Source organism: Homo sapiens, chromosome 17 (assembly GCF_000001405.40).
Source record: "Homo sapiens chromosome 17, GRCh38.p14 Primary Assembly".
Taxonomy (NCBI): domain Eukaryota; kingdom Metazoa; phylum Chordata; class Mammalia; order Primates; family Hominidae; genus Homo; species Homo sapiens.
Window position 1 is genome coordinate 15,498,286 of NC_000017.11, and position 23,430 is coordinate 15,521,715.

Sequence of the window (23,430 nt, forward strand, 5' to 3'; positions counted from 1 at the left end):
AAGGGGCAACATTATGGCATCATGGCTGCCCTGACTCCATTCGTCCAAAGGCAGTCATGTGGTCCCAGCAAGGGAGGCTGGGAAATGTAGTCTAGCTCATGCTTGGAAGGAAAAGGCAATGAGGTTTAGTCAATACACAGCAAACTCTGACACAGAAATTCAAGTCTCCCCATATCCCAGAAAAGTTTTTGAGCACTCTGCAAGGTTTCCCATTTGGAAACTATTAGCCTGGAAGATTAGGCATAGACTGACCCTGTCAGCCCCTATTCCTCTCCCACAGAGCAGGACTTCCTGAGGAGAGCCAGATTTAGGGCTAGATGGGAAGATGTTAATAATAGCTAGCATTACTGACAATTTACCCTGTGTCCAGCACCAACTAAGCAGTTTACACGCATTAACTCATTTAATCCAGCAAAAACTCAGTGATGTAGATGCTATTAGTATCCCCATTTTCCAGATGAGGAAATGAACTTAAGCCCAGGGAGACTGAGTAACCTGCCCCAAATCACACAGTGTCAGATATGGAATTTGATGTCCATCACTGGCTCTAGAGTCTGTGCTGTCCATCACTACCTTGTGCTGAGTCTAGAGGGAAAATGGGAGATAATTCCCAGCTCTGCAGGCTTTCCACACCAGGTAAAGACAGGACAGAAGAGCAGCAGGCTGCGGCTGAGGTGGGTAGGTGCCACGAGTGGGGCTGTACAGGGAAAGCAGAGTCAGACAGGGATAGAAGGGTGGGCACAAGGTAAGTGGGAGTGAAGAAAAGTGAGCTTGCAGAGTCAGGCTATTGGAGCTCAGCCATGCCATTCAGGAAGCAAGTGCAGCATGGAGGACTCAGAGAGCCCAGGTAGTGCCCAATGCCCAGAGGAGCCCCTTGCACGCCGGTCCCTGTCCTTGATTAAACTTGCAATGACAACTGGGAAGAAGTCAGCACCACAGAGGTGGCCATGGCCTGCCCACATCCCAACTGCTCCCAGAGCTCATGCCTGTTTCATCCCAGGACAAGCTCAGCTACTCGCCTGCCCTGGCAACAGGTTCCGAGTGTCACCAGCACTGCAACAGCCCCTGTGGTGTGCTGGGTCCTCCAGGCTCACTCTGGCCCTTCTGATGCCCTAGCCCCTTGGGCCGCCTTCTAAGGAGTCCACCTGTCCTCTTCACACCAAACGGACCTAATTTACCCAGGTAGAAAAACTCTCAGTGGGTGTCTCCAGGGTACCGTCCCCACTGTCACCGCATCATATTCTAAGCCAGTGGGTGAACAACCTCGGTTCTGGCTCCCCTTTTAACGTGATCAGAGTCTGCCCATGGGCAAGAAAACAGACTCTGTCAGATCATGCATTCTTGTGTTGCTCCTGCCATAACTTTGACCTCCAGCAAATCACCCAGTGCCTCAGTTTCCCCACCGTAAAAGTAGCTCAGAAATGTGATGACTCAAGCCCCCAAAGAAATTCTGGGTAGTTTTGTGTGTCTTCAACACTGCTGAGTGTTTTTTCCAGGTGGCTGGATGACAAATCTTCCTCTAGGATATGTGGGGTTGTAATTTGCCCTCAGAGATGCAGGTGCCCCAGGAGTCTCCTTTAACAAATGAAAAGCCGGTCTCTGCCACATGCCAGGATGCTTGTGAACATCACAGAGGCCACCCGAACCCTATCACAGACCTTCCCTGCTCTGGTGGCTATTAACTCTCCTTCTGAGAAAAACCTCTGAGGATCGGAGCCCACATTTTGTTCAGGGATCCAGCCTGGGCTATTGCCCCAGCTCCAGGAAAGAAGGAGCTGCATGCCTTCTCTGCTTCTATTCTGATTTTTTTTTTTTTTTTTTTTTTGAAGTGGAATCTCGCTCTGTCGCCCAGGCTGGAGTGCAGTGGCACGATCTTGGCTCACTGCAACTTCAACCTCCTGGGTTCAAGCGATTCTCCTGCTTCAGCCTCCCAAGTAGCTGGGACTACAGGTGTACGCCACCACAGTCAGCTAATTTTTGTATTTTTAGTAGAGACAGGGTTTCACCATATTGGTTAGGAGGCTGGTCTTGAACTCCTGACCTCGTGATCTGCCTCTAGGCCTCCCAAAGTGCTGGGATTACAGGTGTGAGCCACCACACCCAGCCCATTCTGATTTTTTAAAAACTGTCCCACATATCAACCCACCATGTTACCACCTGTTTTAACCAATTTGTATTGGAAGTAATGGGCAGAAAGTGTTAAGCTGTGCCGCATATTATGAAATATGACCAGCCCACCCTGGAACACTTTGCAAGGCTCTATCACCTCCACATCCTACTTAACCCTTATAGCTGTCCCAGGAGAGCCCACTCCCTCCACCATTGTATAGACACAGAACTGCTGCACAAAGAACAGAACATAAGCAATTTGGTCAAGATCACTGAAGCAACTGGGATTCGAACCTAGGACTTGCCTGACTCCAAATCCCAGCTATTAACACTTCACTCTGCCTCATCAGGGGGAGAGAAAAATTACATAAGCCAAGGAGAGGTGGTTACATGGAAAGCAAATAAAGAGGAGAAGTGAGTGATCTCAGCCATGGAAGGTTGACAATTCAGGCCATGCAATATATGCTTATTATTATGGTAGACTTCCTATTTGACCTCTTTGAACTTGTGAGATCACTTTAATTCTATAATTTACTTATTCATTCTTTCACTAAGAATTTGCTGAAAATTTATCATGTGTGAAAATGTCTTGTAAACTCTTTTTTTTTTTTTTCCCTGAGACAGAGTCTTGCTCTGTCGCCCAGAGCTGGAGTGCAATGGCGTGATCTCAGCTCACTGCAACCTCCGCCTCCCAGGTTCAAGCAATTCTCCTGCCTCAGCCTCCTGAGTAGCTGGGATTACACGCGTGCGCCACCACACCAGGCTAATTTTTGTATTTTTAGTAGACGGGGTTTCGCCATGTTGGCCAGGCTGGTCTTGGAATCCTGACCTCATGATCTGCCCACCTCGGCCCCCCAAAATGCTGGGATTACAGGTGGGAATCACCGCGCCTGGCCACAATTATTAATTTTTAAACCTGGTGAGAGATGCAAAAGATGTCTGCCCTTAAGGAATTTATAACTTGTTGAACCTAGAATACATATTTCCCTTCTTAGAACAAAAATCAAGCATCTTCTAATAAAAGTGGGAAGGTACAGGATGTAGCTAAAGCATTTCTGTCAGGGTTTTCCCACTGTCCCTTCCTGTTCATCACTGTCCCTTCCTGTTGACTCATTTCAACTTGGGATTCACTATGACCACTAGATCCTTTTCCTCTCTATTTCTCTTTAAGTCCATTCTAACCACCTGGACATTATTTAATCCCAAATTCACAATGCCCACCTTCCCAATCTTTAACTGACTTGGTGAGCTATTAACAAGAGTTCTATTTGACCCAACGACTCACGGAGGAAAGAAGAGAACTTCACATTTGTGGGACTGGCCACAATATGCACTCAGGAGCTGTAGGACTAATGGCCACTCCTCAGAGAGTCCTTGGGGTAAGTGAGGCATAACAGAGAGGCTAACTATAGTAAGTAAGTGGGCTGAGCCTGGCCTGGTTGCTCTCAGCCTTTTCCGCCACTCATTTCCATCAAAAGACTGCCTTTAGGAGCAACGGAGGTTAATGAAGCTGTCCACAATGGGGCAGCCAGCGGTAGTGCGACTGAAGTGGAAATCATGTGAGTTAGGTGAAAAAGTACAAACTGGCCTGATTCAGGGAGCTGCCACCCAGCTGGAGAACAGGTGTTACCTCTCAGTGGGCAGAGCTGCACAAGGCCAGATCCTCTCCCTTCTTAGTCACGAAGGTGCCCTCTGGCTCCAAGGGGAGGAGAGGGAACCAGACCTCACTCCCCAGGCCTCAGACCCCCCATCTCTCTCCATGTCCTTCCCGCTGTGACCTCCTTCAACGGTATAATCACTCAGCCTGTTAGGCACTAAGTAGTAAAACTGGTCAACCTTTAAAACCACTTTTCATTACGAAGGCCCAAAAAAAGATAAAAGATGAAATTTAATGGGGGGTGGGGGGGCACAAGAGGGTGATTGAAAAAAACACAGATAATTTCTGGAATTGGATCTGTTAAGCCTTACACATTAGTCCCCGCCCTCGGAAGTAAGGGCCTGTCATTCTGTAAAGGGACGCAGCCACACGCAGAGAAGGTGGAGGTCTCCACCCCTTCCCTCTTCGTCCTCGCCTAGGAGGGACCGTGGTGCCAGTAAAACAGGGACTGGCTGGCCCAGAGCCTTGGGGATCCCCTCCTTTGTCTGGAACCCTCTGGCTCACCGCATCCTTCCTCGGGGCCGCATGGCCCTGCCCCACAAAGCAGGCGTGCTGGGGGCTGCTTGGCCAGGAAAGCGGACGCTTGCAGGGACCACGCTGCTGCCTCTCTTCTGCCCTTTTCCCCTTAGTTTTACAAGTTCCCTGTTCGTTCGTTCTTTCTCTCTCTCCTCTCTCTCTCTTTCTCTCTCCTCTCTCCCGTCTCTTTCTCTCCTTCTCCGTCACTCTCTTCCCTCCCTCTCTCCTCTCTCCTCTCTCTCCTCTCTCTCTCTCTCTCTCTCTCCTGCGAGGAGCTTCAGATTTGTGGGTTGTTTTTAATGCATTCCGGATGCCAGATGAAATTTTGGCCCGGGCTCACCAGTTCCTCTGCTATTGGGACTCTCCCCACCTCCCCTCCAGGCCCAAAGCCGCAAGGAGAGAAATAGGCGGGCGGGCGCCATCTGTTGGCAGTTGCCTGGAGCCGCACGAAGAGGTGGAGAACTAAGGCGGGGCGCAGGTTTCCAGTAAAGAGCTCGATCCGTGATCCTCGTGAAAGAATTAATGTCTACCTGATGAAACTTCCTCGAGGGATGGCCCGGGCAGCGGCTCACGCCTGTTATCCCAGCGCTTTGGAAGGCGGAAGCGGGAGGATCTCTTGAGCCCAAGACTTTCAGACCAGTCTGGGCAATGTGGCGAGACCGTCTCTACAAAAAATAAAATAAAAATAAATTAGCCAGGTGTAGTGGCGCGCCTGTGGTTCCAGCTACTTGACAGGCCGAGATGGGAGGATCGCTTCAGCCCAGGAAGTCGAAGCTGCAATGAGCTGTGACCACGCCACTGCACTCCAGCCTGGGCGACAGAGCAAGACCATGATATTTCAAGAAAAGTCCTTGAGGCAAAAGGTGACCTGCTTTAGAACGCCTCAGTGCTTAGACATGAACAGTGAAGGGGACTGAAGATTGTTGGAACACGGTGCAGAACCCTCTTAGTCTCGTTTTGTTGCCTTATTATGTTCTATTTCAACTTTCAAAAAAAATTGCTGGCATTAGCATGTCGAAAAATTGGTGACATTAGAATGTCAAATTCTTTGAAGGATGGGGATTTTTGCATTCAGTTTTGTGTTCACCAAAATAAGCTAGCAGGAGATTCTGTGCAAGTTGACTTATAAGTATATGGTTTGCTGAAATCTTATGAGGAGAGGGAAATGTAAAGTAAATGAAGTGGAAATAAGTGGTTGTTATGGTTAGGAAAAGGCCATCGTAAGGCTTCATGGCTAGCATGCAGGCCACCGAAGTTCTATCCCAAACAGAAGGAAGCTCTTGTAGGATGGTGAGTTATGGTAGGGTTCTAGGAGGAGTGGGTGTCAGCCTTTTGGGAGGGGGAATGGAAGGGCTGGGAAGGGTGGGAGGAAGTGAATGAAGTTCCAAAGCCAGGAAGCTAGGCACAACCCTGTGAGTAGTACCAATACCTAAGGATGGTTTCTCAGGGACACTCAGAAAAAAGAGCCCAGTCTCCTGAGAGCAAGCATGCAGCCCTATCCCCACATTTTCCCCTGAACATGGTCCTGTCCACCAAATCAGGCCTGAGGATCCTGAAACACCTCCAGGCCCTGGGCCCTCACCCACTAGACAGCCCAGGAACCAGGAGCCTAGGCCTGAATAATGGGAAGCTCTGGTACTGGGCTTTATATTCCTGCATTTTCAACAGGAACAAGACTATGATGTGTGGGGTTTCACACCCTTTCTCCCTCCCTTTTCCTCTCAGAGCCACCTTTGTCTTTGCCAATTTGTCCCTGGGGTTTGGTGACACAGAGGCAGTGGCCAGAAAAGAGAGGCAGAATTGAAGTCGTGGTCATGGGGCTTTTGCTTCTGGACAAGGCTAAGATTTACTTGGATATGAACATAAAAATAAGGAGTTGCTGGAAGAGAAGAGCTGCGCTTTGGATGGGTTTATTAAGAGTTGAGAGCGCGGAAGATGAGGCAGCTTTGGAAATCAGCTGCAGTAGCATGAAGGATACTGAGAATCATTTTAATAAAGACAATTTTTTTTTAAGAGACAGGGTCTCGTGCTTTGGCCCAGGCTAGAGTGCAGTGGGGTGATCACAGCTCACTGAAGCCACAACTTCCTGGGCTCAAGCTGGGACTACAGGCACGCACCACCATGCCCAGCACATTTTTAAAATTTTTTTGTAGAGACAAGGTCTCACTATTTGGCCCAGCTTGGTCTCAAACCCCTAGCCTCAAATGATCCTCTCTCCTCAGCCTCCCAAAGTGCTGAGATTACAGGTGTGAGCCACTGTGCTCCACGGAGGATGAGGTTTATAAGGTGATTTCTGGTGCATCAAGAAGGTATTTTCCTCCCCTCCCTCTGACCTTCAGGGGCTTCTTGAGGGACCAAAACTTGGAAGGTACTTTCCATTGATCTTCTTCTGGAAGAAGGAGAGGGTCCAATAAAACCGCTGTTTATTTGAGTCAGCATCATGCACAGCCCAGGCCACACAGACCCACAGTTATATACTGATTACACATTCAACGCATGTGTGTTCTCAACACTGAAGAGGTAGTGGTAATGAAGGCAGCCATGGGGCTATAGTCCTAGACATTTTATTCCTTTAATATTTAAAGCAAACCTATCCAGCAAAACAAAGGAGGCAAAACAAAACAACAACAACAAAAAAAACCCCTGCATGTCAGTGTTTAGAAAATATCCAGACTATATGTCTTTCCAATATTCATGGAAATCTTTGATCCAAGGTGATGTTGATGAGCCTGTGGGTGGGCTGGGAGTTTGTTGGTGGACCTACAAGGCTGTGGAGCACATGTCAATTCTCCCACCAGTCTCAGGCAGTGACGCCTACTGGTTTAGAGCACAGATTCTAGATCGAGACATTCCTGGGTTCAAATCCCAGCACTGTTGTTTCCTTCCTGTATAACTCAAGAAAGTCTTGGCTTTTGCAGATACCACCGCCACCGGGAGCCCCATACTATTGAGAGGTGACAGCGTGCTGGCAGTCCTCAGAGCCCCGCTTGCTCTCGGAACCTCCTCTGCCAGGGCTCCCACTTTGGCGGCACTTGAGGAGCCCTTCAGCCCACCACTGCACTGTGGGAGCCCCTTTCTGGGCTGGCCAAGGCTGGAGCCCACTCCCTCAGCTTGCAGGGAGGTGTGGAGGGAGAGGGGCGAGCGGGAACCGGGGCTGCCTAGGGCGCTTGCGGGCCAGCTGGAGTTCCGGGTGGGCGTGGGCTTGGCGGGCCCCGCACTCGGAGCAGCCGGCCAGCCCTGCTGCCCCGGGCAATGAGCACCCGGGCCAGCGGCTGCGTACGGTGTACTGGGTCCCCCAGCAGTGCCAGCCCACCGGCGCTGTGCTCGATTTCTCACCGAGCCTTAGCTGCCTTCCTGCAGGGCAGGGCTCGGGACCTGCAGCCCGCCATGCCTGAGCCTCCCACCCGCTCCATGGGCTCCTGTGCGGCCCAAGCCTCCCCGACGAGCGCCACCCCCTGCTCCACAGCGCCCAGTTCCATCGACCACCCAAGGGCTGAGGAGTGCGAGCGCACGGCGCAGGACTGGCAGGCAGCTCCACCTGCAGCCCCGGTGCGGGATCCACTAGGTGAAGCCAGCTGGGCTCCTGAGTCTGATGGGGACGTGGAGAGTCTTTATGTCTAGCTCAGGGATTGTAAATACACCAATCAGCACCCTGTGTTTAGCTCAAGGTTTGTGAGTGCACCAATCGACACTCTGTATCTAGCTGCTCTGGTGGGGCCTTGGAGAACCTTTATGTCTAGCTCAGGGATTATAAATACACCAATCAGCACCCTGTGTCTAGCTCAGGGTTTGTGAGTGCACCAGTCGACACTCTGTATCTAGCTGCTCTGGTGGGGCCTTGGAGAACCTTTATGTCTAGCTCAGGGATTGTAAACGCACCAGTCAGCGCCCTGACAAAACAGGCCACTGGGCTCTACCAATCAGCAGGATGTGGGTGGGGCCAAATAAGAGAATAAAAGCAGGCTGTGGGCGCCAGCAGTGGCAACCTGCTCAGGTCCCCTTCCACACTGCGGAAGCTTTGTTCTTTTGCTCTTTGCAGTAAATCTTGCTACTGCTCACTCTTTGGGTCCACGCTGCTTTTATGAGCTGTAACACTCACCGCAAAGGTCTGCAGCTTCACTCCTGAGTCAGCGAGACCACGAACCCACCAGAAGGAAGAAACTCCGAACACATCCGAACATCAGAAGGAACAAACTCCAGACGCGCCACCTTAAGAGCTGTAACACTCACCGCGAGGGTCCGCGGCTTCATTCTTGAAGTCAGTGAGACCAAGAACCCACTAGAACACACTATCAGCCGTGGTCAACCCCACCATGTTCTTCAACATCGCCATCAACGGGGAGCCCTTGGGCCGCATCTCCTTTGAGCTGTTTGCAAACAAGATTCCAAAGACGGCAGAAAACTTTCATGCTCTAAGCACTGGAGAGAAAGGATTTGGTTATAAGGGTTCCTGCTTTCACAGAATTATTCCAGAGTTTATGTGTCAGGGCGGTGACTTCACATGCCATAATGGCACTGGTGCCTCTACGGGGAGAAATTTGATGTCGAGGACTTCACCCTAAAGCATACAGGTCCTGACATCTTGTCCATGGCAAATGCAGGACCCGATACAAACGGTTCCTAATTTTTCATCTGCACTGCCAAGACAGCGTGGTTGAATGGGAAGCAGGTGGTCTCTGGCAAGGTGAGAGAAGGCATGAATATTGTGAAGCCCATGGAGCGCTTTCGGTCCAGGAATGGCAAGACCAGCAAGAAGATCACCATTGCTGACTGGACAACTCTAATAAGTTTCACTTACGCTTTATCTTAACCACTGGACCATTCCTTCTGTAGCTCAGAGAGAGCACCCTCCACCCCATTTGCTCACACTATCCTGTCATCTTTGTGTTCTTGCTGCAGTTCCCTTTGGGTTCCATGTTTTCCTTGTTCCCTTCCATGCCTAGCTGGATTGTAGAGTTAAGTTTATGAATATGAAATAAAATCTAAATAGGCCGGGCGCGGTGGCTCACGCCTGTAATCCCAGCACTTTGGGAGGCCGACGCAGGCGGATCACGAGGTCAGGAGATCGAGACCATCCTGGCTAACACGGTGAAACCCCATCTCTACTAAAAATACAAAAAAATTAGCCGGGTCTGGTGGCGGGTGCCTGTAGTCCCAGCTACTCGGGAGGCTGATGCAGGAGAATGGCGTGAACCCAGGAGGCGGAGCTTGCAGTGAGCCGAGATGGCGCCACTGCACTTCAGCCTGGGTGACAGAGCGAGACTCCATCTCAAAAAAAAGAAAAGAAAAAACTAAATAACAAAAAAAAGAAAGTCTATAGCCTCTTATGCCTCCATCGTATCTGTAAAGTGGGGATAAAAATAGTACCACTCCTTTCGAGTTCATGTAAGGAGTAAATGAATGAGTAGGTGAAAGTGTTAGCATAGTGACTGCCATATTGTAATGTTTATTAAGTGTTAGTTACTAGCCAGGCAAGGAGAATCATCTCTTGACATAGGCAGGCTCAGGACCTTTGTAAATACTTGTGGTCTGACCATTCAGTCAGATCAACCCAGAGGCCAAGCTGCATATGCGTCCCATGGACTGACTGCATCCCTAGGAGGTACTCCTCTGCTGGGTTGAAGGCATCTCTCAGTTGGTGAGGACTGGCTCCATGACCTCCACCTGACCCTGGTGTACTCTGATTCTCTTGCCCACCTCCCTCTAACAGCCACCCCACCTGCCCCTCATTGGAGATGAGAAAGGAAGGAAAAACAGAGCTGGGCTTCTGTGGTCTTTGTCCTGTCCCCAAAGCCCTCTGGAAGGAATAGAGAGAAATCATAGGATGAGGCTTTCTACTCAGACCCCATGTAACTGCCCGGCCAAAATGGGCCAAGGTAGGCAGCATCCCGCTCAGGTCCTGCAGATGCTCACACACCCTGCTCCCACCTGGCCAAGAGCACCCCTCCTGTTCCTCGGAGGACTGGGGAGTCCCAACTTCCAGTCGCTCTTCCCTTAGGACTCACATGCCTTTGCTCCCCTCCCTGTGGCTTCGCTGGTGCTTCTCACCATACCCAAAGCTCCACCACCTTACTGAGTCACGCATTTACATTGTGCAGTACTGCTCTGGGACCAGGAAAATGACCCACTAATAGCTTACAAACGAGCATGGGCCAAGGTATGGTTGTAATGTTTAAAAATACTTCTGGGTATTTCTGGATCTACTTCTTGGTCTTGTCTCTTATCGCTATTTCCTTCCCTGTGTTCCTCATGCCTCTAACGTGAAGAGCAACTTCACTGCAGCCCCAGCCTCTCCAGTGTCTAGACAGCACCCTGGTAAACTAGGGGCACTTGCCAGGGGGAAAGACCCCGATGAGTCACTGCACTGGGGACAGAAAATGTTCTGACTTCAGTTTTTATTTATCTCATTTTTTAACTTCTATTTTGGGGTATGTTTTAGATTTACATGAAGGCACAGTAATAGCTGTTTACATTAGTAAATAAATATGCAGTTACTGAGGATGCATGAGCAAATGTGGAAGGGCACAATTTTAAAGATTTGGCGGCCAAAGTCCTGGCCCACAGCGCCTGTCTGTCATTCTCTGATCTGGTTTCAGGGAGGTTTTCTTGCTATATCAGCTCCCAGGGTTGTCCTCCAACCAGAGTAATAAACACAACCTCTAACAGAGGGAGGCGCCTGGCACCAACCAACCAGTCAGAAGGACCTGGAGGCTCTGGGTTCAGCCCACATAAACCCCTTAGTTGCTGGACCAAGGGGAGGTGGTAGGGGGACAGCCCAGGGGACAGGATGCACTTGGGAGGCCTGGAGCAGCTGCTGGCTACAACTAGTCAGGAAATACTTTAGAAAGTTGACAGCCAGGAGTGCTGAATATCAGCGCTGACCGCACCTTCTTTCCAAGTGGTGGTTCCTACCAGCTGCACCTTTGCGAGTTTCTTGGTCTTTGCTTATACAGATCCCTGACAGTAAAATGCCCTTCCATCCTTCCTCTGCCTATTAACATTCCATTCATCTGGCTGGGCACAGTGGTTCACACCTGTAGTTCCAGCAATTTGGGAGGCCAAGGTGAGAGAATCGCTTGAGCCTAAGAGATGGAGGTTGCAGTGAGCCATGATTGTGCCACTGCACTCCAGCCTGAGCGACAGAGCAAGGGAAAAATACAGAAAAATCCACTCATCCTTCAAGCTCTAGTTCAGATCCTCCCCTATCAGGGAGACCCCTCTGATGCTCCAGGTTAGAAGGAAGTGCTCCTTCCCTGGCTCACATGGCATGCTCTCACTTGGCTCTTACTGTGCTCTTGCCTCACCCTGAAGGCAGACTGTAAGTTCCTTGAAGGGAGAAACTATTATATTTCAACAAACCTAAGATGCCATGGTTGTAAAATGAATCATTGTTTCAAGTACCTCTAAAAAAGAAAAGAACCTGCCAATGGGCTATGAGTGGTAAGACATACCCTGATTTCGGAGACGTTGACTTTTTTAAAAAAACAGCAAAAGTGCTACTTAGAATGAATGACATGTGGTGGCCAGCTGGCCTGTGTCTCTGCATCGCCCATGTCTAGAATTGTGTTTGATTTGCAGCAAGCATTCAGGAAATGTTTCTGTTTGCTTTTTTCGGGGTTCTAGTGAGGAGTTCCAGAGGAGGAAGTAGAGAAGAGAGCTGGGCTGGAGGAAGATGATGGTGAGACCCGAGGGACTAAGACTTGAGCTAACAAACAAATCAACAAGAAATAAGCAAACAACCACATAAAAAGTGGGCAAAGGACACGAACAGACACTTATCAACACAAGACGTACAAGCGGCCAATAAACATGAGAAAATGTTCACCATCACTAATTATCAGAGAGATGCAAGTCAAAACCTATGAGATACCATCTCACACCAGTCAGAATGGCTACTATTAAGTCAAAAAATACCAGACGTTGGCCAGTCTGGGGAGAAAAGGGAATGCTTATAAACGGCTGGTGAAAACAGCTGGCTAAGAGCCCAGTTACCTTAGTCATAGTTCCAACTCTGCAATGGCCTGTATGTCACCAAAAAGCCACTAATTCCTCTATGATTACCCATATTAAATGAGACAATAGGATAATAATAACTACCATTTACCAAGTTCTAGCAACATGTCAGTGCTTTTATACATATTCATATATTTTCTTAAACAAACAGAAAAGCAGTTATCACTGGCCCTTTTTATTTTTAAAAAGATAATGGGGCCAGGTGCAGTGGCTCATGCCTGTAATCCCAGCACGTTGGGAGGCCGAGGGCAGATCATGAGGTCAAGAGTTCGAGACCAGCCTGGCCAATATGGTGAAACTCCATCTCTACTAAAAATACAAAAATTAGTTAGGCGTGGTGGCAGGTGCCTGTAATACCAGCTACTCAGGAGGCTGAGGCAGGAGAATCGTTTGAACCCGGGAGGCAGAGGTTGCAGTAAGCTGAGATTGCACCATTGCACTCCAGCCTGGGTGACAGGGCCAGACTTCGTCTCAAAAAAAAAAAAAAAAAAAAAAAGATAATGGAAGAGGCAGCCACCCACAGGTCATGGGACCTTAGACAAGCCCCTTCCTGCATTTCATAGCTAGGGAAACAGGATCATAAATGTTAATCACAGGTACCCGGTCTACAGTAGAGAGGTTTTATGAAAATAAAATACAAGACCAAATTCAAAGAGCTTTAAAAACCACAGAGCCAGACAAATGTGAGAGGTTATTATGAGCAAACAATGACATTACAGAAGTGAAAGTGCTCAGTGCCATCAAGAACAAGGGCTCTATTTCACTCCCATGTGTCACCATAATAAAGACAGAGTCCCTGATCTTAAAGGCATCAATTTTGCCCCACTGGAAGCCTTAATTGTAATTCATTAATACAGCAGCATCCTAAAAGTTACTGCCGTTTCTAGGAATCCAAACAACTGGTTTTAGGTCCTAAAGAATTTGAATCATTAAGAAATTTAAAGTACTAGTAGAGTTTCTGGGAGCCCTACAATTTTAGGTTTCTGCATGGTTAAGAAACTGAAAGAGATGATTTCTTAATTGGTTCCATTTTCCCAGTTTTTTTTGTTCTAATCCAAGAATTGTTCCAGTCCTTATCCTTCCTTCAATCAGAATGTCCCCAAGTTTATGGAATGGGCTTCCCTTGTCCCCACTCAATGGCTCAAGAATACCACTGTTATATATTTTTTCCTTTCAATTGTGTTTCGTGACTCTGGAAAAATACTGGATACTTTCAATATCTAATGTGATATGATCTCATGATAGTTTCATACTATTTTTGATATCTAATATGTAAAATTAAGTAATCTGATAGTTCTAATGTTTACTTGCAGAGAAATTAATTATAGAAGTGCCAGGAAGATTCAAGGAATTGGAAATTATGGTTTAATTAGTGGGTATTTAGAACAGCTCTTCTCAAAAATCACCTGGACAACTTGTTGAAACACAGGCTGCTGGGTCTCATCTCCACAGTTGCTGATTCAGTAGATCTGAGTGGGGCAGCATGATTTGTACTTTTAATAACTCCCAGGGAATGGTGAAGGCTGCTTGTCCTGGGACCACACTTGAGAACCACTGATTTACATGGTTATTGGAAGGACCAAGAAAGACAAACCACAGAGGCCTCCTCTTCTGTCTTTCTTGGGATGTGGGTTGCTCTGATGTTGAAGTGGATGGGGTTAGGAAGAGACTGGGAAAGACACTGTAAGCCAGGATGACAGGTTTCATTTGTAAAATCTTTACCAGAGTTTTCTTCTTTAATCCAGGCTTTATCTCGTGAGCAAGAAATCATGAGATCTAAAGTCCTTCTGGCAAGACCAGGCTCTAACTCTCTCCATATCACCCTGGGATCCCAAAAGGACCTTCCATAAGAAGACACAAAGGGGACAAGTCTACAGGGGGAATTCACCAATACCAGTAACTATGACAACACTCAAACAATCCCTGCAATGTTCGAAGGTTCATAAGAAAGGAGAGTCTGTTGTCCCATCTGGTGAAATCCAGTCCCCAAGTGGAAAGCAATCTCTGTTGCCACAATCCCCAAACTACTAGAAGCCATGCTCTCTGCTTTGCATATTGCTGGCTTCACGAACATCATATATATATATGTAAATTTTAAATAGCCGATAGAAGATCATTGATACATCTTTATTACAGATATATAGTTCAGATCAGGAAATATTAAGTTACCAACTCCTAAAGCAGCCATTGTATTTCAAGCAAGTCAATCCTACTACCATGACCAAACCTAATTGGACCAAAGAAAGATGGCTGATTAAGGACTATGTCAAATCAAAAGGGAGATGACCCATCCATCCCCATGGAGTCCCCCTGCTTGGGAAGGCTGAGGACATTTCACATATGGGCTATGTAGGACCTTAGGCAAATCCCCTCTCCTCCCTGGGCTTTAATTTCTTCTTCTAGAAAGCTAGGATGCTAGATTTCATTCTCTCAGAAGCACTTTTGGTTCTAACGGCCATAAACACAGTAACTTTCTGTTCTTTTGCATGCCACTCCTGGGCCCCTTCTCTTTGTACTATGCGAGGAACTTGCCCCATCATCAGATTTGAGTGGGGGAGTATTGGGGGCTCCAGAAGGCCAGGAACAGTCCTTAGGAAGCCAAGGCAGACTTCAGAATATACGGTCAGACTCAAATGGCAAGGAGCTTAGACAATGTCACATTGTGGAGTTTAAAAACATGCATTTTTAAGAGCCTGGGCTTACTGAGTCAGCAATCTGGAACATTCTCAAGAGACTAAAAATATCCTGAAAGTGGACTGAATTTTAAACTAGGCTTTAAAAAACTTTCTATGTGAAAACAATTGAGTATTTCTTCTTTAAAACAGTTATCCGTTTTCTTTATTTAGATTTTCACAACTGGAATTGATAAGTATAGAGGAAGCTCCAGCCTGAGATGGGGGATTGAACGTCATGTTTGAAGGGCTGTCCAGTCCTAGCGTCGATAGCAAGGGACCAAGATTTATAACTTTAAATCTCTCAAGCCATCTAAAAAGCAAAGAGGTAAAATGCTTTCTCTTTTCTTTCTGACAGTTTGAGGATTCTCTTTCACAGCATCAAACAGCAGGACAAAGGGTTCTTTTCAACCAGGAGGTTAGTATCCACCAAATGCTTAGCTCTTGGCATTGCCTGGCTTTCCCCAGCAAGACATGAGCAGCAGATCTGTAAACAGTCTGAAACATCCAGTAAAATGGATACCTGAGTCCCTAACTATCACCACCCCACCGGCTCCATGCAACCTTTCCCTAATTCACATTAAAATAACACAGAAACATAGAAAAGGCAGTGAAGTAAAGCCACTGTCTGAATCTCAGCATAGGGCAGAAGAAGCTGGATGTAGAAAGTGCTTTCCATGATTTTCTCAAGCATGCTCTGAATGCAGGGGCGGACGGTGAGGGAGGCCCAGAGACCCAGGGCCTGTCACTAACCAGAAAACCACAGCATTGAGAAGCATCCTCCGCACGCTTCCAAGAGAACGTTCTTATCACCGTTCATGGGGTGCAGCTATTTACTCTGGGCTACTTGCTTAGGAGCAGAGGCTGGACTTTCAAGGTGAATATGGCCCATCAATCCGGCAGCAAACATACTTTTTAAAGCTAAGAATCTTCTTTCGAGTTGGAGCAGCCTTTTCAACTGTCCTGCCTCAGCTGGGACATAACAAAATACCATAGCCTGTGTGGCTTAAACAAATCAAACGACAAGTAAGTAGGGACACTTCAAAAGAACAGGAAATGTTTCTAAACAGACACTCAATCTTTAAAAATGAATCTTAGGATTTCTGTTGTAACATTAAACACATTACCTCTTTTCAACTTAGTACTGCATGTTAAAATGTTTGTAAGACCTATATAGCTTTCTGATTTATTTACTTGGTTAAAGAAGCGTGTGCATGCTCTGGCATTTATTTATTACTTTTAAGAATGACAAAAAGGCTAAACTGTATGTGACAGAAAACAAACAGCATGAAAGAAAGGAAAAAAATGGAAATAAGGAGCACAAAATTCCAAAGGTCAGGGAAATAGGCAAGCTGACATCAGTGTGGCAGAGTATAATGTAGGCAATTTATGGCAAAACTGGTAAAACGGAGAGAGTTCTACAATGTAAACGATTGGGGTCAAAGATTAAACACATAAAATAATACAAAATCTTGCCATGTCAAAAAGGGTTCACTCTACTCAGCACTTGAGACCTCTCCTGTTACAAGGGCTACTTACAGGAAATACACATGAAACAAAAAGCCACAGAGGACAACACAGGTGTGAAACTGAGCAATGGGATCCAACCTGAGCCCCTTCTCTGGAGGATGAGACAACAGGGAAGTGCACATGGCTGTGGCAAACACCATGAGTGTGCCACCCAGATCCCCGCGGATCCCTTTTACAGGTTAGGGGCATCTTTCCCGAGCTTCAGTGTGCTTTAGGTTTCCAACAGCCCAGAAGTGCAACTCCTTTTTTCAGGATTGTCTTTGGGGTACCGGAAACACAGCTGCCAGAATACACAAGCCGGAGGTGGCTAGGGTGCCCATACCCACAGTGGGCATGGCCCTGAGTCGATGACTGACAGATGTGAGAGCAAGAAAGCCCTGCTCCCTGAGTCCCAGGGACAAAGGAAAAACGTGCAAAGGTATAACGTACACTCCAGAGTCTCCCTGTGCAATCCAGAACTCAGCCTGGAACCCCCTGGAACTTAACCTAAAATTACACCCTCCTACCTGATGCTCCCCCAACTCAACTTTACTCTCATGGAACCAGAAATAAATCATTTGTGTAGGAATCCTCATGTAAGCGTCTGCTCCTGAGGACCTGACCTAAGACAAGCACCCATGTGAACCAGGCACCGGGCCAGGCGCTGTTGGGGAATTAACCCCTCAGAGGGGAATCCTGCCTCCACTCGGGAAACATACAGGCCCAGTTGGGAGCCTGAGACGTGAGCAATGAAAAATGAACTACACGAGATACGATTTTCATGCTGAAAAAGTACTTTGGATTCAGAGGAGAGTGCAAATACGGGTATCGTTATAAATTGTTTTTATTAGTGGAGAATCAGAACCCAGGAAGGCCAGGTGATAGAGGACAAGTCTCTGAACACCACAGCCAAGGAATGGAGACCCTAATGATCCTAAATCCCAGCTTTCACCACGCGCTTCCCTTGCCCTAGGGTCTCCAAATGTCTTCTGGGTGGATTGCAGACCCGAGCAAGATGAATGAATGATGGGCACAGTGATGGAGTTTGGATCTGTGTCCCTGCCTGTCTCATGTTGAAATGTAATCCCTAATGCTGGAGGTGGGGCCTGGTGTCAGGTGATTGGATCATGGGGGTGGCTTCTCATGAACGGTTAGCACCACCCCTAGTGCTGTTCTCCTGATGGAGTTACCATAAGATCTGGTTATTTTAAAAGTGTGTGGCCTCCACCCACTCTCTCTGTCCTTCTCCTGCCAGGTAAGACGCGTGCTCCCCCTTTGCCTTCTGCCATGAGTAAAAGCTCCCTGAGGCCTCCCCAGAAGCAGATGTTCTCATGCTTCCTGTACAGCCTGCAGAACTATGAGCCAATTAAACCTCTTTTCTTTGTAAATTACCCAGTCTCAGGTATGTCTTTAGAGCAATGAGAGAACAGACTAATACACACAGCGAGGCCAAAGGCCACCTGCCGCAGTGCACAGCCAGGAGGCGACAGCAAGAATGGAGAAGAAATACAGGGGTTGGTTGTGAAGGAAATCTAAGGGACTTGGTAACGGATGTAACGGGGAGCAGGAAGAGATGGTTAGTACATTAGTCAGCTCAGGCTGTCATAACAAAGTTCCTTAGACTGGGTGGATTAAACAACAGAAATGTGTTACTCACAGTTCTGGAGACTGGAAGCCCAAGATCAAGGTGTCAGCAGGGCTGGTTTCCTCTAAGGCCTCTCTCCTTGGCTTGTGGACGGCATCTTCCCCCTTCGTCTTCACACGGTCCTTCCTCTGTGTGTCTGTGTCCTAATATCCTCTTCTTATGGAACACCAGTCAGACTGAATTAAGGCCTACCCATATGACCTCATTTTATCTTAATCATGTCTTTAAAGGTCCTGTCTCCAAATACAGTCACCTTGAAAAGTAATGTGGGGTTAGGACTTCAACATATGAATTTGGGGGTGGGGGTGGACAATTCATCCCTTAAGAGTTAGCAATATTATGGTAGGTTTGATTCCAGAAAGACTGTGTTTGAGGTGATGGCCACACATCCCAAGTATGAACATCCAGCAGGTGTATCACAGACCTGGGCATAAACTTCAGGAGAGAGGCCTTGGCTACAAGAGACTAGAAGATCCTGCTTGTCTGCCCTACTTCAGCAGGGCATCCCACAGTGTGTGCTGTCTGGGAAAAGCACAGGCATGGCATCTCACCCTAGGTGTGCAAGCTCAGAAACTCAATCATATCTATTCAAGTGGTGAGCAAGCCCCCCATCAGTCAGTTCTCTTGCTGAGCCAACCCAAAAGAGGCTGCTTTATAAAAGAGAGTGTCTATTTAATAATTTACCCACAGAGATTCCTGGCAGGATAATGCACACCAGTCATTTCCATGGGACATGCCTTTTTGTGGACTACTTGGCTGTCTACCCTTTCCGCCTCCCTGTCACCCCCCAACTGATAATAAGCTTTCTGTGGCTTGGGACTATGTCCCACTCAATTTCATAGCCCTGTTCATTCAGTCCTAAATGTACCTTACTAATATGTGTATCCTCCCAGCATCTAACACAGTTTCTTTCAGGGGGCAGGTGGTCAATAAATACGCATCAATAGTTAGGCAGAGAAATGGGTACTGATCTCTAACAGGTGCACAGTAGTTAAGAGCACAGACTTCTATGATCTGCATCTTGTCTTTACCAAGTATTAGCTGTCTGACCCTCCCTGAGTAGAATTAGCTACTCCATGCCTCAGTTTCCTCATCTTATCCAATAAGGGTGATACTTTTATCATCCACCTCATCAAGTTGTTATGAGCATTAAATGAGTTAATATATGTAGAGGGCTTGGAGTAGCACATGGTGCACAGTCGACCTATATGGGTGCTGGGAATTGTTTATATCCATCACTTGCTTGACACATTACCTAGGTTGTCTCATTAAACCTCCAAACAATGGTTTGAGGTGGATGTTGCCATCCCACCCTAAACAGGAGGAAGCCACATCCGATAAAGGTAAGTAACATCCAGATGACTACACAGCTGGCAGGCGGCAGAAACAGAAGGTGAGCTCAGAAGGGCTGAGTCTCATGCCCATTCTCTTCCCACTGCACCATAAGAGAATTCTCACTCAAGAATGTTCCCAGCCTCAGCCAGATGCGGTGGCTCACACCTGTAATCCCAGTATTTTGGGAGGCCAAGGCGGGAGGATCATGAGGTCAGGAGATCGAGGCCATCCTAGCTAACACTGTGAAACCCTGTCTCTACTAAAAATACAAAAACAATTAGCTGGGCGTGGTGGCACGCGCCTGTAGTCCCAGCTACTTGGGAGGCTGAAGCAGGAGAATCACTTGAACCCAAGAGGCAGAGGTTGCAGTCAGCCGAGATCACATCACTGCACTGCAGCCTAGGTGACAGATCAAGACTCCATCTCAAAAAAAAAAAAAAAAAAAAAAGAATGTTCACAGCCTGTCACAGAGAACCCAATAGGCACTAAGAGTCAGGAGGTGAAGCCAATACAGCATCAAGATCTACCCAAATATAAGGGGGTTCAGAGATGTGATTGTGTCCCAAACTCTACCCTATATGGTTGCAATGCTACGTACTGTATCAACGGCACATCCAAGCTAAAAAGCTTTTCATGTGCATCATCCAGAAGGCGTCCCTAGCATTCAGGGGCCCAAAATGTCCCCCTTGGCACTCAGCTGAACCATCAGCATGCCAGCAATACCTATGTAACTCCTACATCTGGAAAGCAGATGACAGCTGGGCTCTCAGCAGCTGGTCAGCAAAGTAGACTGTGACTAGGACAGGTTGTCACTGTGCCTTAGAGAATCCTAAGCATTCCTTTAGTTCTGGGATGACAAACAGACAGTGTCTGTGCTAACTGTAATTAATTAAAAGTGATTGTCTAGAATCTGTGTTTTCCAAAGAATTCCATGGCTAAGACTGGGCTCAGTAGAGAAGAGCTCCACTGGGCTCAGTAGAGAAGAGTTTCATGGTTGACTAGTGATGTCTGCCCAGAATACAAGAGGGAGAGGAGAACACTAGATGAAGGTTTTCCAACCCTTCCTCAGGCCAAGTCACCTTGTGATATGGTTTGGCTCTGTGACCTCACTCAAATCTCATCTTAAATTGTAATCCCCACGTGTCGAGGGGGGACCTGGTGCGGGTGACTGCATCATGGGAGTGGTTTCCCCATACTGGTCTTGTGATAGTGAGTGAGTTCTCACAAGATTTGATGGTTGAAAGGTGTGTCGCAGTTCCCCACTCTCTCTCGCTCTCCTGCCATCATGTTAAATGTGCCTTGCTTTCCCTTCACCTACCACCATGACTATAAGTTTCCTGAGGCCTCCCCAGCCATGCAGAACTGTCCACTACACCGCTTCTTTTTATAAATTACCCAGTCTCAGGTGGTTTTTTATAGCAGTGTGAAAACAGACTAATACATCTTTCATTCACTTAGGTATTGAAGAAGCACCTGGTATCCACATACTACCATACTAGAACATGAAAACATGTATATGACATGGTCCCTGCCTTCAAGAAAAGACACACAGAGGTGAGAAGCCAAACAAAAATATAAATACAAGCCAAGCATGGTGGCTGCTGACTGTAATCCCAGAGCTTTGGAAGGGTGAGGCAGGAGGATCATTTGAGCCCAGGAGTTCGAGGCTGCAGTGACCCATGATCATGCCACTGCATTCCAGCCCAGGTGACAGAGTAAGACCCCATCTCAAATAAATATACACACACACACACACACACACACACAAATTGCGTGTTAAGCATGGGGAAAATTCTCTTTTAAAACCCTGTCTACTCAGTTTTTTAAAGGTTGGGGTCTTCAAGGACTCATTTTTCTCAACATGCCTTAAAAGTACTGTCAGTTGGTGGCCAGGCGCGGTGGCTCACACCTGTAATCCCAGCACTTTGGGAGGCCGAGGTGGGTGGATCATGAGGTCAGAACATCCAGACCATCCTGGCTAATATGGTGAAGCCCTGTATCTACTAAAAAATTAGCTGGGCGTGGTGGCAGGCACCTGTAGTCCCAGCTACTTGGGAGGCTGAGGCAGGAGAATGGCATGAACCCGGGAGGCGGAGCTTGCAGTGAGCCGAGATCGCGCCACTGCACTCCAGCTGGGGCAACAGAGCGAGACTCCGTCTCAAACAAACAAACAAAAAGTACTGTCATTTGGTTAACAGCTGCCTTTTATGGAGGCCAAGCTATGCAAACCAAACTATGAAAAACTTTAAGAGTAAAAGGGACCCTGGATGCCATTTAGCTTGGTCACTTGCCACTACAGAAGCTCCTTCAGCAACAACCCAGCATGCTTGCTCAGTGCCTTCATCCTCCAGCTGAGGAAGGCTGCCCACTCCAGCCTGATCAACCATGATTGCTAGAAAGTGTTTCCTTGGATTTCACCAAAATCCTCTTTCTCTCATTTCCATCCAGCTGTCCTAAACTCTGTCTTTCAGGGCCATACAGAACACAAACAACCCCTGCTCAACATGACAGTTTTTCTAATCTCTAAAGACAGTTTTCATATTGCCCCTCAGTCTTCCCTACTGCCAGTTAAACAGCCCAGGACTTCTAACTATTTTCCAGATGACATGGTTTCAGATCACCTAACGTCCTCTGGGTTCCCTTTTTTGGGTCATCTTTCATCTTCTCAACTCAGAGAGGATTTTAGGCTCTATTTAGATTCCTCCTCCCTTATCCTATTGTCAGAAATTGCCTCCAGGTAGAAAGCCAAGGCAATTATAGGGTTCTTTTCACTTATGTCCATTTTCCCAGGGATCACAAACATGTACTTCCTGAAATAAGTTATTTTATGTATCTTGTCCACTTTCTAGTTACTCACAGTGGGAGGATAAGTCTGGTTCTTGTTATCACATTATGGCTGAAAGTGGACATCCACACATGTTCAAACAAAGCTTTCAACATTTTACCATTAACTGTGATATTATAAATGTTCCCCTTAACACTGGGGGCAAGCAAGGGTGCTTGATACCACCATGTCCTTACAAAATTATACTGGAGTTCCTAGTGAACGCAGTAACGCATAAAAAAACATGAAGATTGGAAATGAAGGAAAAAAAATCTGTCATCATTTGCAGTTTGCATGTTTGTCTAGATAAAAATCCCAAAATATCTACACAAAAATCCTAAAGTATATACATTTAAAATGAACCTTTAAAAAAATGTGATGGCATAAAATACTACTAATGATAGCAACAGAAAATGTAAAGTACCCAAAAATAAAGCTAACCACAAATAGAAAAGACCTCTATAGAGAAAATTATAAAAACTTTACTTAAAGAAATCAAGGACTTAAGAGACATACAATGTTCATGGATCAGAAGATTCAATATTACAAAGATGAGAATTCCCCCCACTTGATACACGGTTTCAATGGAGTTATGATCAAAATTCTGGCAGAGCTTTTTTGGTACTTAACAAGTTGATTATAAAATTATTATAATCTGGCCAGGTGCGGTGGCTCACACCTGTAATCCCAGCAGTTTGGGAGGTTGAGGCAGGCAGATCACAAGGTCAGGAGATCAAGACCATCCTGCTAACATGGCAAAACCCCATCTCTACTAAATATACAAAAAAATTGGCCAGGCGTGGTGGTGGGCGCCTGCAGTTCCAGCTACCTGGGAGGCTGAGGCAGGAGAATGTCGTGAGCCCAGGAGGCGGAGCTTGCAGTGAGCTGAGATTACGCCACTGCACTCCAGCCTGGGCAACAGAGCGAGACTCCGTCTCAAAAAAAAAACAAAATTATTATAATCTCTACTAATTAAGTTAGTGGGTATTGGTATAGGGATATTCAAATAGAGAAATGTAACTGAAAAGAGAGGCATGAAAGAGAACCACGTATATAGAGAAACTTAGTTTATGATGGAGTTGGCATTGGAGATTAATGTGAAAAGGACAGATATTTCAGTAATTGGTTAGCCACATGGGAAATAAAAAGA

General features: G+C 47.0%; 2 protein-coding genes and 1 pseudogene across 3 annotated transcripts in view, besides 1 other annotated feature; 1 reads left to right on the forward strand and 2 right to left on the reverse strand.

The window, feature by feature from the left end:
- Positions 1-23,430, reverse strand: part of TVP23C-CDRT4 (TVP23C-CDRT4 readthrough) — a 127,469-nt gene that overhangs the window by 62,271 nt on the left and 41,768 nt on the right. The gene's annotated exons all lie outside the window — the stretch shown is intronic.
- The window catches only part of TVP23C (trans-golgi network vesicle protein 23 homolog C), a 61,220-nt gene continuing 41,768 nt past the window's right edge, over positions 3,979-23,430 (reverse strand). The window contains exon 6 of the mRNA NM_145301.3: positions 3,979-4,947. Coding sequence (NP_660344.2) covers positions 4,579-4,947 — 369 coding nt within the window. The 3' untranslated portion in view covers positions 3,979-4,578. The remainder of the gene's footprint in view (positions 4,948-23,430) is intronic.
- Positions 8,510-9,253, forward strand: PPIAP53 (peptidylprolyl isomerase A pseudogene 53; annotated as a pseudogene).
- Positions 17,950-18,244: a silencer, noted in NCBI's record as "tiled region #6604; HepG2 Repressive non-DNase unmatched - State 15:Elon". NCBI's record gives its function as "represses a minimal TATA promoter and a strong SV40 promoter by Sharpr-MPRA in HepG2 cells {active_cell/tissue: HepG2}" and the evidence as "EXISTENCE:reporter gene assay evidence [ECO:0000049][PMID:27701403]".